Consider the following 13,340-nt stretch of genomic DNA (forward strand, 5'->3'; position numbering starts at 1 on the left):
ATTGCTGTGGATATACACCTAGATGGTACAACTAGGAGCGTAGATACTCTCCTACACTCCTAATTGGCCCCCTCTCCTACCCTCACCAGGTTTTTTTTTTTCCTTTTTTTTTTTAATCCTAAATCGTTGCTCATTTTTCCAGTGTCAGCCTTCTGGAGTTGCCTTCCCTGTTGCAGGCTGGCCCAGCTGTCCCATCCTCAGGAACACAGTCCCTCCTCCCTGGCAGCCTCTCCTCTGACTTCTCCCCGCTGGGGCTGGGAGGCTCTGGGTTCCTTGCTCTCTCTGTCAGGCCTTGGCTCCCTTATCCTCTCCTTGGACTGATGAGCTGCTCCTTCCCCTACTCCTAAAGATCTCAGGCTCTTTATTTTTTTATTATTCTTGATAGAAATTGGGAGATATTAGTGGTGGCATATATACGTATTTTTAAATTGTGGTAAAACATATATCACATAAAATTTGCCATCTTAAGCATTTTTAAGCACCCCTGATAGCTCTCAATGACACCCTGCGCTGGCTGTCCTGGAGTCACCTGGGGGAGGGAGGGAATGGGTTGCTAGATGGTGCATGTCAGTAATTTGCCTTGGTGTTTGATGACATTAAGTATATTCGCATTGTTGTGCAACCATCACTGCCATCCATCCACAGAACGCCTTTCCTCTTGCAAAACTGAAACTCCGTAGTCAGTAAGCAACAACTCCCCAGTCCCTCATCCTCCACCTCAGCCTCTGGAAACCACTAGTCTACTTTCTATCTCTGTGAGTTTGACACTCTCAGTACCTTGTACAGGTGGAACCATACAGTATTTGTCTTTTTGTGACTGGCTTATGTCACCTAGAATAGTATCCTCGAGGTTCATCCATGTTGTAGCATGTGTGAGAATTTCCTTCCTTCTTAAGGCTGAATCATATTCCATTGGATGTAGACGTATGCATGCCACATTGTGTCTGTCCACTCATCTGTTGATGGATACTGGGTTGCTCCCACTTTTGGCTGCTGTGAATAAAGCTGCTATGAACACAAGTGTACAAGTATCTGCTTCAGTCGCCACTTTTGCTTCCTTTGGGTTTATAGTATGTAAAAAGTGGAGGCATGTTTTTAAGGTGTCTTAATTATTTTCTGCTGTCCCTTAAGTCAATATTCATTTTCTTCATTAACGCCGTTTGAGCAACTACTGACCTCACTGGGTCTGTGGCACCTGCTGCAAAAGGCAGTTTCTCAGAGAGCCCCGGAGGAGCCACAGAGAACAGAAGAGACTTTCTACCAGCCTTGAAAGGCTCAGGAGGCCCCCTGCTGCCTCCACTGCTGGTCCTGGCTGGAGCAAGCCTGGGTTAGATGAGGGTTAGAACCCAGCTCAGCCGTGTATCAGTGGCATGGCATGACCTTGGGTAGTGTACTGCTCCTCTCCCCTCCTTTGCTTAAAAATCAGTTAAACAAAAAAGATACAATAGCCTTAACATTCTAGAGCAACTCAGTCCTGCACAACCTTCCACGATGACAGAAACGTGCTCCATCTGAGCCGTCCAGTATGACAGCCACTAGCTACATGTGCTGTTGAGCACTTGAAATGTGGTGAGTGAGAATGAGGACTGAATTTTACATTTCATTTCATTTTAATTAATTAGAATTCGAATTTTAAAAGTCACACGTGGCCCTTGGCTACCTTATTGCACCATGCAGCTATAGAGGATGAAAACGGGTGGCAGTCATGTAGTCCATAGAAGGAGCTCAGCAAGCCCAGTGTCTGGCACATAGTAAGCACTCAATAAATGTTTGCTATTATTAGGTCTTAGGTGTCTTGCTTTCTGGCCCACCACACCTGATGGCTCTCAATGACACCCCACACTGGCTGTCCCGGAGTCACCTGGGGGAGGGAGGGAAGGTGTTGCTGTATGGTCCATGTCAGTAATGAGCCTTGCACTGAATGTTTCTGGTCTGCTACTTTCCCTGGAGGGTCATGTGAGCCGGAGTGGTATGTGGCCTGCTTTGCAAGTGATTAACATGGTGTAAGCAATCTGCATAGAGAGAAAAAACCCTCGGTTGGTATTCCATTATTCTATTAGAGTTTCGGAGCCAGGATTAAGTGGACATGATTTCTTCCTATGGGCCATTAATTTTGTTTTATTGCTGGTCTGATGGCCATTACCCTTTTTTGCCAATGCATTCCCCCATTAGGTTTGTACAATTAACAAAATATGTGCTGTTAGGGCTTTGATAGGAGGAATGGGATGGAAATAAAAGGAGGGGGTGCAACCGCTACAGATTTGGGGGTGGGGAAAGTGTCCACAATGAAGGGAAGCCTTCAGCACCTGCCTTCTGGCCACTGGCATTCCTGGGAAACTGCAGTAAGACCTTTCCCCAGCTCTTTCCCGACTAGGAGTGGAGGAGTTGCCCAGGTGAGAGGGAGAGACACTTGGTGGGTCCATGTGGGAGCGGTGTTGGCATTTCCTGGCCCTCCTCCTCCAGCATGCAGCTGAGTACGGCACAGCTGAGAACATAATGCGACACCCCCACCACCCCCACACTATCACCTTGAACCCGATACTGCTCAGCAGGCAGCATGAGTCAGCCTCTAGGTGTCTGGCCCCGTGACGGGGGAGACTTCTGGGGCAACACCTGCCTTCTCTCTATGGGGCAAACAGGAGGACATGTGCCCAGTTAAAAGGAGGCGGCTGATACTCTACCTCATCCAATGATCGACATGTGGAAATGCAGAATTGGCATGTTTAGGTCATACAATTTCTGGAGAAAAGTTAGGAATCCAGATTTCTAAATGTGAAATTTTGCAAGGTTTAGATGTTGGCAGATATAAAAACACTGGACAGGCAAGAGTCAACCTTGGGGCTGGTAGTTGGCAACCTCTGCCAGTCAATAAGGAGTCGTGGAAGGGTACTAAAGGAGACATGGACAGATGAAAATTGTGTTTTAGGAAGATTCCCAGGGCAGGGTTGGTAGGGTGGATGCGCAAAAACAGTGTGAGGCTGGAGACAAGGAGAGTTGGGTTAATGACAATGGGATGGGTAGAAGAGCAGTGATGCTTCTGAGGGAGAATTAGTAAGTCTTGGGTCTTGGTGTTTTAGCACTACAGAGGATGTCCATGGGGCCAGGGGGGGCTTGCTTGTGAGCAGGCCCACCCTCATGCTCGAGGGTTTACCTCTGCTGAGACCAAGCCACTCTGTGAGCCCACACCACCCAGTGTATGTGAGTCTTCCCATCCCAGGCTTGGAGGGTAAATTGCTTGCTTCTGCCTGGTGTAGAAAGGTCATAAGTATGTCCACTTCTTCCTCCCATATGGGATAAATATTAAGGTTAACCCACCACTGCCAGCATTCCTAAGATAACTTCATATTCATACCTATACTGACAGGTCCAGGCCCAAGAGTCGAGGCTTGGCCTGGGCAGGGCCTGAGGGGTGTCACAGAGGAAGCCTTTCCAGGTCCTTTGCAACTGGGTGCCCAGCACTGCCTGTGGCACAGGGGGCTGAGGACTAGTGTGGAATTAGCATCCAGGCCCAGTGGGCTTTGAGGAAGGCCGTGCAGTACCCTCAGTGCTGGATGCATAAGAGTCTCAGAGGCAACAAGTTAGCACTAGGTAATTATATCTATTTAATTACATAACTATTGTGTCATTTAGAGCCTGCTGGTCAGGGGCCACAGTGCCTGACTGACAACCTCATGGAACAAGTGTAAGCAACTGCAAAACATTGTCAGGTGATGAGGGTGCACGGGTGGAACAGAGCAGGGACTCAGTGAGATATGGTGGGAGCTGCAGATACGCTGTTGGAGGGACGAGTGGTCCATCAGGTGTTTGCTCCTGGAATGGCCCATCTCAATCAGATTTTTCCACCAAAGTTTTGTTTCTCTTCTGGAAGGTTGGCTTATAGGCCTACAGAGGGCTTTGCAGAGGACAGGAGCATCCAGAGAGACTCTTAGTGTTCAAGAAGGAGTTGTCACAATTTGGTCCTCATCCCCAAAGTCTGGCTTGGGCAAGAATAGGAAAACTTGTCATGGGCAGTAGGATGAATGTAGAAGTCCTCAGTCTTCTGGATTTGCCTCTCTTTTTCCTATTCAGTTGCAGCCATTTTTTAATTAAGTTATTAATATGTCCTAGGCATTGCACAAATGAGATGGTACATGCACCATCTTATTTAAAGGTGCTACTGTTAGCACACTTTTAAAGATGAGAAAATTGAGGTTCATAGAAGCTAAGGTTAGGTAAATGATGGGCCCTGGCTTAAACCTGAAACTGTTTGACTCCAGCATCTTTACTCTTAACCTCAATGATACACCATGCTAGCAAGAGACTTAGTGCCCTCTCTGGAGGATTGGTTTGGGCAATCTCAGAGATTGTCAGATGGAGTTTTATTTTAAAGATCTGGTAGTTTAACTCTACTACTTTGCAGATGAGGAAACTGAGGCATACAGCGATTAAAGTTCCTTGTCCAAGATCAAACAGTAAGTTAATAACAGAGTCAGGGCATGAATCCATGTCTGGCTGACCCCCCGGTCTGGTGCTCTCTGTGTCAGACCTATGGCTTTGCTAAACCCCCAGCTAATCTTCCTCTTTACCTGGATATGTTTCATAGATGCCTGCACAGCTATCCTTGAGGATGCAGAGACAAGTTCTATCACGCTACCTCCTATGGGAAGCTTTCTTCTATCCCTCTCCCCGCCTCTTTTCCAAATAAGCATGACCATTCAACTCCCTCCTCATTTACCATTTCATAAATTCCCTCATATCTACAAATGTGAATCGCCAATCTCATTTATGATTCCATTTTATTTTCACGATGAATAAGACAAGCCTGAGTTCAAATTCTGGTTGCATTATTGCATGGCTGAAAGCCTTTGCCATGATTATTTGCCTGTGAGGATCACAGACAGCTGGCTTTGGAAGGCCCTAAAAACATCAGGCACATGGATGGTTCCCCAACAGGCATCCATGGGGTAGTGCCAGTCCAGGAAGACTTTTTCAGTGGTGCATATTGATGAGTGAAACATAAGTACAGTGTGTAGAGATTGCATGTGCTTACACACACAGGTGTGTGTGGGGGGTGTGTGTGTGTGTGTGGAGAGAGAGAGAAAATGATGCTCCGTTTCTCAAAGGATGGCTCTTTATTGTGAGATTTTTGCACTCTTTATTTTGGGGGAGATGAATTATTTCATGAAATGATGGTGAGAGAAGACACTATTAATGTTTTATCAAAATACAAGTTTGTCAACACTATCAGCCTTCGAATGCTGTTCAACACTTTACTGATGGCTGAAACCCAAATCAGGGAAACATGCTTTGAGCAGCTTCTCACCCAGTGCACGATTCTCCTCTCAGTGTTGGGAGTTCACTACCTTCCAAGGAAGACTCGCTCATTTCTGGATGGTTCTCATTGCCAGAGAATTCTTTCTTATGTTGAACTGCAGATTGGCTTCCGCTAACATCTAAAGTTAGTCCTAATCCTATCCTCTAGAGCAACACAGTCCCCGTCTCACATAGTTTCTTCAAATATTTGGAGGACTACCATGTGGGAGAAGGATTGTATTGCTTTAGTCACTAGAGCAAGGACCAGTGGATAATTTTAGAAAGGGACAAGGAAGATACATCTCTAGTTTTTTCTACCATATCTTCTGCCTCATAGCCTCCTAATAATACTGAAAACAGCCACAACAGCAGAGATAGCTAACATTCAGCGAGTGCTTATTTTGTGTAAGGCAGCGTTCTACGAACCTTTCAGTATATTAAGTCATTCATCCTCACCACCACCCTCAGAGGAGGAGTTAGCATTAGCCCTATTTTATACATGAAAAACAGGCACAGGGGCATTAAGTAACTTGCCCATGGTCAAGCCAGAATCGAAACCTATCCAGTGTGATTCCAGAGCCTACCCTTTGAACTACTAGACTTCTAACCCACAATTTAACCACTAGACATCTTCTCTCTCCTCTCTTTTCTATTCATCATTGTCGAAGTTCCTAAAATATGATGCTAAAACTACATATAGAACTAATACAAACTGGTAAGTTCAGAATGGAGGAGATCATTCAACCCTCAGTTGGGTACCATATGGCTATTACTGCAGCCTATGATCACATTTAGTGAGTTTGGCAACAATATCATATCCTGGGCTCATTTTGAGCTTGGATTTAAATCAAATAATCCAAGTCTTTTTTTTTTTTCAAACTGGGTCATCCCATTATGGTTTTTTGTTTTTGTTTTTGTTTTGTTTTGTTTTGCAATACTTTTTTTAATGTAAGAGTGGGATTTGGTATATATATTCCTGTCAAATCTTTTCTACAAGAGTCTGTGAAAAAAAAGTGGGTTTGCACGTGGACGTAGGATATACTAATTTGATGGTTTAAAGTAATGAGATTGTGGGCATTTTTTTCTTCATTTTCAAAATTATTTCATTGGTAGTTGTCATGATGTTATTGTGCAAGAAATAAAAACTGGGAAAGGAAAAGTGAACTTTTAACTTTTAGCCTGTTCTTTCAGCTTGCTAAAAGTTTTATAACAATCTTGAATCTAGCCCTCCAGCACAGTAACTGCTTTTCTCAGCTTTGCATCATGTGCACCTGAAAAGTTGGCCATATCTTCTTTCAAGTCACAGGTGTCTCAGACAGACAGTCCCACAGGGCAGGGATAGAGCATACAGCTCCATGTAATTTAATCTAGAGACTTCATATGCCAAGTTCATATCATGCTCAGTAGTAATACGTAAGTAGTTTAGAATAATACAAGTTGGAACCCATTGCCAGCCAAGGGTTGGTTCTGAGGTGCTGGTGGTGGACTCTGCTTGGAATGATGAGAGTCCACCATTCAACTTTTCAGCAGATATTTACTGAGAACCCAGCACAGGCTGGGCACTCTGCTAGGTTCTGGGGATATAAAGATGCAGAAGACATGGTCCTTTTCCTCAGTGGTTTGTAGTCCAGTGGTCTGGTTCCGCCTCTGAGGCACCTCCATGAGCTATGAGCCTTGATCATGCAGGTGTAAGGAGACAGCCCCTGAGGAAATGACTTTGCCTCGAGGAAGTCATCATGAACCAGAGAGAAAATTTGGTTTCCTCAGCACATCTCACTACACCCCATGCCTGAATCTTCTAACTGAAATTCCACCTTCTTCCAAAAAGGCTTGCTTGTCTTAATTAAAGGGAAAGTGCTAAAGATGGCAGGGACATGTGAGGGTTTACATTATGTCAAGTCCTTGTTGAACATCCTTCAGTGTCTCTGTGATCCCACAGGCTAGCCTGCCCTCTATTGCCTGACACCAAAACCCCTGGATGCTCTGGCCCCACCTTGCTGAGCTGGCGCTACTCTCTCCTCTAGTGTCTGTCAGGCAGACCAGTCTCTGCGTCATCCCAGGACCCTCCATGCCTTTCTGCCCCTTGGCCCTTGCTTGGATAGCCCCCGTCTTTGGAATGCCTTCTCCTCCCTCCCACCAGCCAATTCTTGTCTGTCCAGTCCGCCAAGATCCCATTCAAATTCCACCTCCTCATGAAAACTCCCTTGAGTGCCGCGACTCTTGCAGACTTCATGTCTCTGTGGAGAGAAAATAGGCATCGCTTCTGTACACTTTAGCACAACTTCGTATACAGTCTGGCCTTATTGGGGGTTCTTGTATATGGGTGATCTCTCTTCCCCAGCAATGTGGAGGCAGTGCTTTTATAACAGGACAGCATGTGTAGATTACAGAGCAGACAACTGATAAATATGTGTTGACTGTTTTTATTTTTACAAAATTGTATTATCTCAGAAAGAGAATTAAAAGCAGGCAGATTTTTTTATCTTTCCAGTCCTGCACCATCATTCTTCTCTATGCACATTTTTCTTCCTGCCCAATTGGACTCTTCGCCTTCACTTGCAAGTTCTTGTCTGCAGCAAGACTTTCATATTCCTGAGGTAGACAACAGGGTCAGCGTTGTCGTTTGCTTGCCTTTTGCAGCCTTCCCTGTCTAGATTGCAAAGTTTCATAGGGACCCTTCTGCTCTGTTCCCCTGCATGGGGTCTTCCAATAGGTAGGAGGCACCAGTAAATGATTATTACCTTGGTCAGCTCAGGGCACTTGACAACCATGAGGCTTTTTTTCTCCTCTGGTAGTCCTATAGGGAAGGGGAATACAAGCCCTATGAAATGGAGGCATCAAGCAGGTAGAGGAGGGCATGAACCTCTCGCTCTGCCCTGATTAGGTCTCTAAACAATAATGGTTTTGCTAGGAGTCTCTTGCTAGGAAGCTTTCTCACTCAGCACTGCGGGCACATGGCTGCCAGCCCTGGCCTTTTTCCTGAGCCAAACCCACCTCTGGGTTTACCCCCTTCCCCATCCTGGCTTTCACTTCTGCAGCATCTTACACAGTCTATAAAGATGTTTTCTTTCATTGGCAGGTGAAGTCTGGAGCAGGACTTCTGAGGCTTTCTATCCTCCATGCTGCTCACTAGAAAAGGGGCTGTGAACTGTAAGTAACTTTGATTGGCGTTTTCCATGCTGACTCAATAAGGTTAGGGGTTAAAGACCAGCCCTGAACCTGATCTTTAACAGCCATGCATTGTGCAAGAGAAACACTCAACAAAGAGCTAGTCAGAATGTAATATACAGTGGAGCTCTAATTAGATTATGTCTGAATGTGACAAAGAGGCCCTGTAATATGACATCGTATTTAATTAGACTATATTGATTGTGCATTAAGGTGGACTTGATGTGTTACATGTGTCATGAGTGCCGGAGAAGGAAGCTCTTGAGTCTGCAAGGCCGACCCAGACCCCAGCCACTATCGCCTGTGGGCTAAGCCTGGAAGGCAATGAGAGGAGGAAGTGGCAACATCAGTCCTCAAACTCGGCCAAGTTTATAGCCTGCACTTGCTTTTACATCTGGTTATTTCTGGGGAGGCATGAGGGAGGAAAAAGGAAATGCTGCTGACCGCTTCCCTTCCATCAGCCCAGTAATAGCTTGACCTCTTAGGCTTATTTGCTCATATTGGTTCTCCCCACTTGGCAAAAGTCTACCCACCTGTGGGACCCGGCCTAAGTCCAGCCTCCTCTGCAGAGCCTTCCTAGGTAACGCCAGCTGGAAGCGATCTCTTCCCCTTCTGAAATTCCGCAGCATTCACACACGCTGCCCCTGCCTGTGTCCCCTGCCTCTGTCCCCACCTCTGGCTGTCACATAACCATAACCCTCTCCAGCAAGGCTGTGAGCTCCTGGGGGGTAAAGTCTGGGATTCCTACTTCTCAGTCTGCCCACTGCACACTCAGCCTAGTCGCTCTTTAGTAAGTGTTACCTGGATGACTGAGTTGCCCTGGGCAGGCATAGTTTCCCCACGCTGCTTATGGGGCTACCTGAGGCTGAGCTGTTGCTGCCGCGACTTTGATAGTACGTTGGCTTCCAACCAGTCCATGGAATTATAAATGATTAACCGTTATCAGCGCACATCTTCACCTCTGTGTAAAAATAGATTGACTGTAATGAGTATTTGAATAAATCATAAGAATGGCCGCCCTGCGATCGGCTAACATCCTGCCGATGGCTGCCCGGTGAGTGAGCAGGGCGCCGGCCCTCCCGCCTAATGGCCTGCGATTCAGCGCCGGTCGCCTCTGTGATTGACGGGCCTGGGCTCCCAGGGCACCTCCTCTGCAGCCCTGCTCAGGAGCAGTCGGATCTCCAGGCTGGGGTGTTGGGGGAAGGGTACCTCCCTCCATCCTGTTCCAGGAAAGCCTGCCTAGGAGGTGGGGCGGGGGGTGGGTGGAGGGGCAGACTAGAAGATAATGACCTTTGTGAGAATCGATGTCTCCTCCTCGCATCGGAGGTTAGAGGGACCTCATAAGTCAAGTATGAGGAGCAAGCTGAGCATGAACCTTAATGAGAGCTGAGAGCGTGGGGGGAAATAGGCCTGCGCATCCCCCCGATCCCTGAGGGCAGCCGGGCACCTGGCTCTGGCCACCACACCCAGGAAAGCTCCCTGGCAGGGACACAGCCTTGGGCCTACAGATGGGAAGCAGGAAACACAGGTTTCTTCAGGTCCCAGGCCTCTGAAATGGAAAGATTCAAATGACCTTTCAGGGAGTGTTTACCAGGGTGGCCTCAGGCATGGGGAGCCTGCCTTTTGGAGGGAAAGGAAGAAGAGGAGACGGGGAGGCAGGCTCAGGGTGATAGGGCCCAGTTGAGGAGGGAAGGGTCTAAAAGTCTGAAGTTTCAGAGACAAGGCCAGTGAGGGCTGGATTTGAGAGGGAAACAGCAAATATTCCAAGTTAATTCCAATGGTGTCCCATTTCTAGGCTATGTAAAAAATCACCCATAACAGAATGGCTTAACATCATTTATTCTTCAGGTCAGGAATTCAGAAAGGGCGTGGTGGGGCAGCTTGTCTCTGTGCCACCAGGTGCCACCATGGAATCTCAGTGGGGGCAGCTCAAAAGCTGGTTGCTGGAATCATCCAAAGGCTTGCTCCCTCATCATTCTGGGCTTTGATGCTAGCTGTTGGCTGAGAGGTTGGCTGGACTGTCTTGGCCAGACCCATGTGACAGCTCCATGTAGCCTGAGCTTCCTCACAATATGGCAGCTTGATTCCAAGGGTGAGCATCTAAGAGACAGTAAAAGCCAAGTGGAAGCTGTGTTGCCTTTTATTACCTGCCCTTCAAAGGCAAGCAGCATCATAGCCACTGCATTCTCTCAACTGGGGCAGTTGCAAAGGTCCACCTAGGTTTAAGAGAAGGGAACATAAATACCCCCCTTCTCCATCTCTCCAAGGAGTATCAACATCACATTGAAAGAACAGGATGAAGAATAGGAATGTATCTTGTTGCAGTCGTCTTTAGAGAATACAGTCTACCACAATTGGTACTCATCAAGTTAGTGGTCTGGCACAGCACAGCCTCATCTATTTCCCAGAAAGAATAAAAGGAACCCTTCTTTGGGGGTGATTTGTTCTCCCTAGAAAGACAGGCTAAAGAACCCCCTGCCTTAGATAAATTAAACTGTCCCTTAATTCACAGAATGTTTGAGTCGAAAGGGCCCTCGGAGGCCAGGCAAGGATTCCTTCCTGGGCAGGCCATGCTGGTGTTAATAGGTCCTGCAGCTAGCAGAAACTTCGACCTCAGGGTCGATCTCAACAAGAGTGAGTTGAGTCTGTAACCCACAGCTTCAAGTGTCAGGTCTGGAGGAGTCCTAGACTGTGAGCCAGGACTCCACAAGCCTTGAGCCCTTCACTTACATCCAGGGCTCCCTGGACCTCCATCCCCATGGACTTCTAAGCTGGGGTAGGTTTCACACAAAGATTAGGATTTAAGAAGCTACAAGGGTCTGTGCTGTAGCTGGGGAATTCTGGGCAGCCCTTCCTCCCTGACCTCACGTCCCCTGCTCTCCTTCCTTCCCCTCTGCCACATACTATGTCCTGAGGAGGCTGTGCCCTCCAAGAACTATAGTCTCTTTCCTTTGCCATTTTTCTGACCCGGATGCAGCTAAATCCTGGAAGAGGATCTGAATGTCCTAGGTGCCTTGTTGTGACTTAAGGGGATAGAAAAAAAGCCCAAGCAACCAAAGAGTAGAAACAACCAGCCCGTATCCCCAAAGGGCTGAGAGCTGAGAATGGCTAACACCAAAGGGGAGGGGGCAGGGGCGAGAGGGGTGAGTGGACTTGGTCTTGATAAAAAGTGCTAGAGTTTGGAGGAAGAGTCTTGGATTCTTCCACTTATTGGGCACTTACTACATGCTAGGCATCATGCTAAGCACTTAGGGTGCATTTTCTCACTGAACCCTCACACTATGTTATGGGATGATGTTATTATCTCTATTACAGAAGAGGAGAGGAGGCTTAGAGAGCAAGAGGAATACCCTAGGAAGTAACAGAATTGAAATTCAACTAAGGACTCTCTATTCTTGAGACTTACACTATTTTCTTGTATGACACTCAGTTGACTCCTCTGTAAATGGAAATGTCTGATGGCATCATCCCCAATGCTACTGTCATTTCTAAGATTCTAAATGTGCAGATAAGATTTTGGGAACTTGCTTAGTTATATCTAAATGGGCCTACTTCATGGAGTTGAGTCTAGGTGAAAGTATGGAATGATTTCCTATTCTGTCCCCTTTTGTGAAACTTAGGTCAGGAAACTAACATTTAATTTGGGCACATGAAGGAAACAGATGGACACAAACATAAAGGTCATTTAGATTTTCAAGGCTCCAGCTTGGGAGAAGAATGTTGGATTTGAAGTACAAAGATCAGATTTGAAGCCCAGCCTTGGCACCCCTGTGATCCTGGGCACATCTCTTTGGCCTTTGGCTTCCTCATCTCTGGAATAGAAATGGGGTTGTATATACTTCCCAGGACTGCTATGAGGACTCACTGCGATCCAGCATGTGCAGGTACCTAGAGCCATTCTTGGCACACAATAGGTACTCACTAAGGCTCCAGCCATTCACTCGCCCAGTAAATAAATAAAAAGTGGAGTTGGAAAGAAAGGCTATTCCTTTCCATTGCTTCTGACAGAGACGGTCAAGAATCTTGCCTTTAACTGTACTCTCCATAAAAGTTCACTCATAAACTATTGATATTTTAATAATACACATTAGTGTCTTGCCCTTTGACAAATGAATATTGAATGAGCAATAAAGAGGCAAAACACTAGCCAGGTATACTGCTGCAGAGGAGCTAGGATCCTGGCTGGCTGTCCAAGGGAATGCCCGCTTTCCAGAGACCTTGTAACTCACCCTTCACCCCAGTGACCCCTAAGGAAACAGCTCTCAAAAACAGCTCAGAATCCAGCCAGCCCAGCCTGGCCTGAGTAGGGTTTGTCCTCATTTTTTATTTCAGTTGGCTGGAGGGGACTTGCAAGGAGAGAGAAAAGGTCATTAAAGAACCACTAAAAGGGTGGATGTTTTACCCCATGTGAAACACTTTGGATCTTCCCATTACCTTTGTGAAAGGTGGAGGTTTCTTCTTCACATGCTCTTTCCTCCGTAGATTGCATCTACAGACAGTCAGAGTGCCCGCAAGAAATCAGGCAATGAGCGTAAAAACAACAGACTCGATCCACCCCGCTCGACCAGATCTTGATGGGAACCTATGCTCGAAGGGTGTGTGCTAAGGTTTATAAGGCAGAATTTCCTGCCTCTTCCGGCTTTGCAGCCAGCTCCGTGGCCCCAGCCTCCAGGTTCTCATGGCCTCCATCTAGGCTGGTAGTCCTTGAGTGTGCAGAGAGCAGTGACAGGGGCATTTAGTTGGTCCAGCTTAATTGGTGTGATTTAATGGCATTTCTGGAGGATTCGGATTCAGGCTTTCCGAGCTGCAAATCTGCTTTCTAAATGTAGAATTTTTGTGGAGTGGTAAAAAATAATGGCTGTTCTGTGATTCCTGCCTCC

General features: G+C 46.7%; 1 protein-coding gene across 28 annotated transcripts in view, besides 1 other annotated feature; it reads left to right on the forward strand.

Annotated features, from left to right (window-relative positions):
* PKNOX2 (PBX/knotted 1 homeobox 2) overlaps positions 1 to 13,340 on the forward strand; it is a 268,639-nt gene that overhangs the window by 61,923 nt on the left and 193,376 nt on the right. For 16 of the 28 annotated variants that reach the window (NR_168082.1, NR_168078.1, NR_168083.1 and 13 more), the window contains one exon: positions 8,372 to 8,442. The exons of 10 other annotated variants lie outside the window; for them this stretch is intronic. The gene's annotated coding sequence lies outside the window, so the exon portion shown is untranslated. Of the gene's footprint in view, positions 1 to 8,371; positions 8,443 to 12,942; positions 13,056 to 13,340 lie in introns of all 28 variants that reach the window. 2 more of the 28 variants (NM_001382328.1, NM_001382331.1) reach the window with 1 other exon arrangement.
* Positions 1,963 to 2,957: an enhancer, noted in NCBI's record as "H3K27ac-H3K4me1 hESC enhancer chr11:125098532-125099526 (GRCh37/hg19 assembly coordinates)". NCBI's record gives its function as "activates a minimal SCP1, AML or CMV promoter by ChIP-STARR-seq in primed H9 embryonic stem cells {active_cell/tissue: H9 hESC(primed)}" and the evidence as "EXISTENCE:reporter gene assay evidence [ECO:0000049][PMID:30033119]".

This window comes from Homo sapiens, chromosome 11 (assembly GCF_000001405.40).
Source record: "Homo sapiens chromosome 11, GRCh38.p14 Primary Assembly".
NCBI classification, from domain to species: domain Eukaryota; kingdom Metazoa; phylum Chordata; class Mammalia; order Primates; family Hominidae; genus Homo; species Homo sapiens.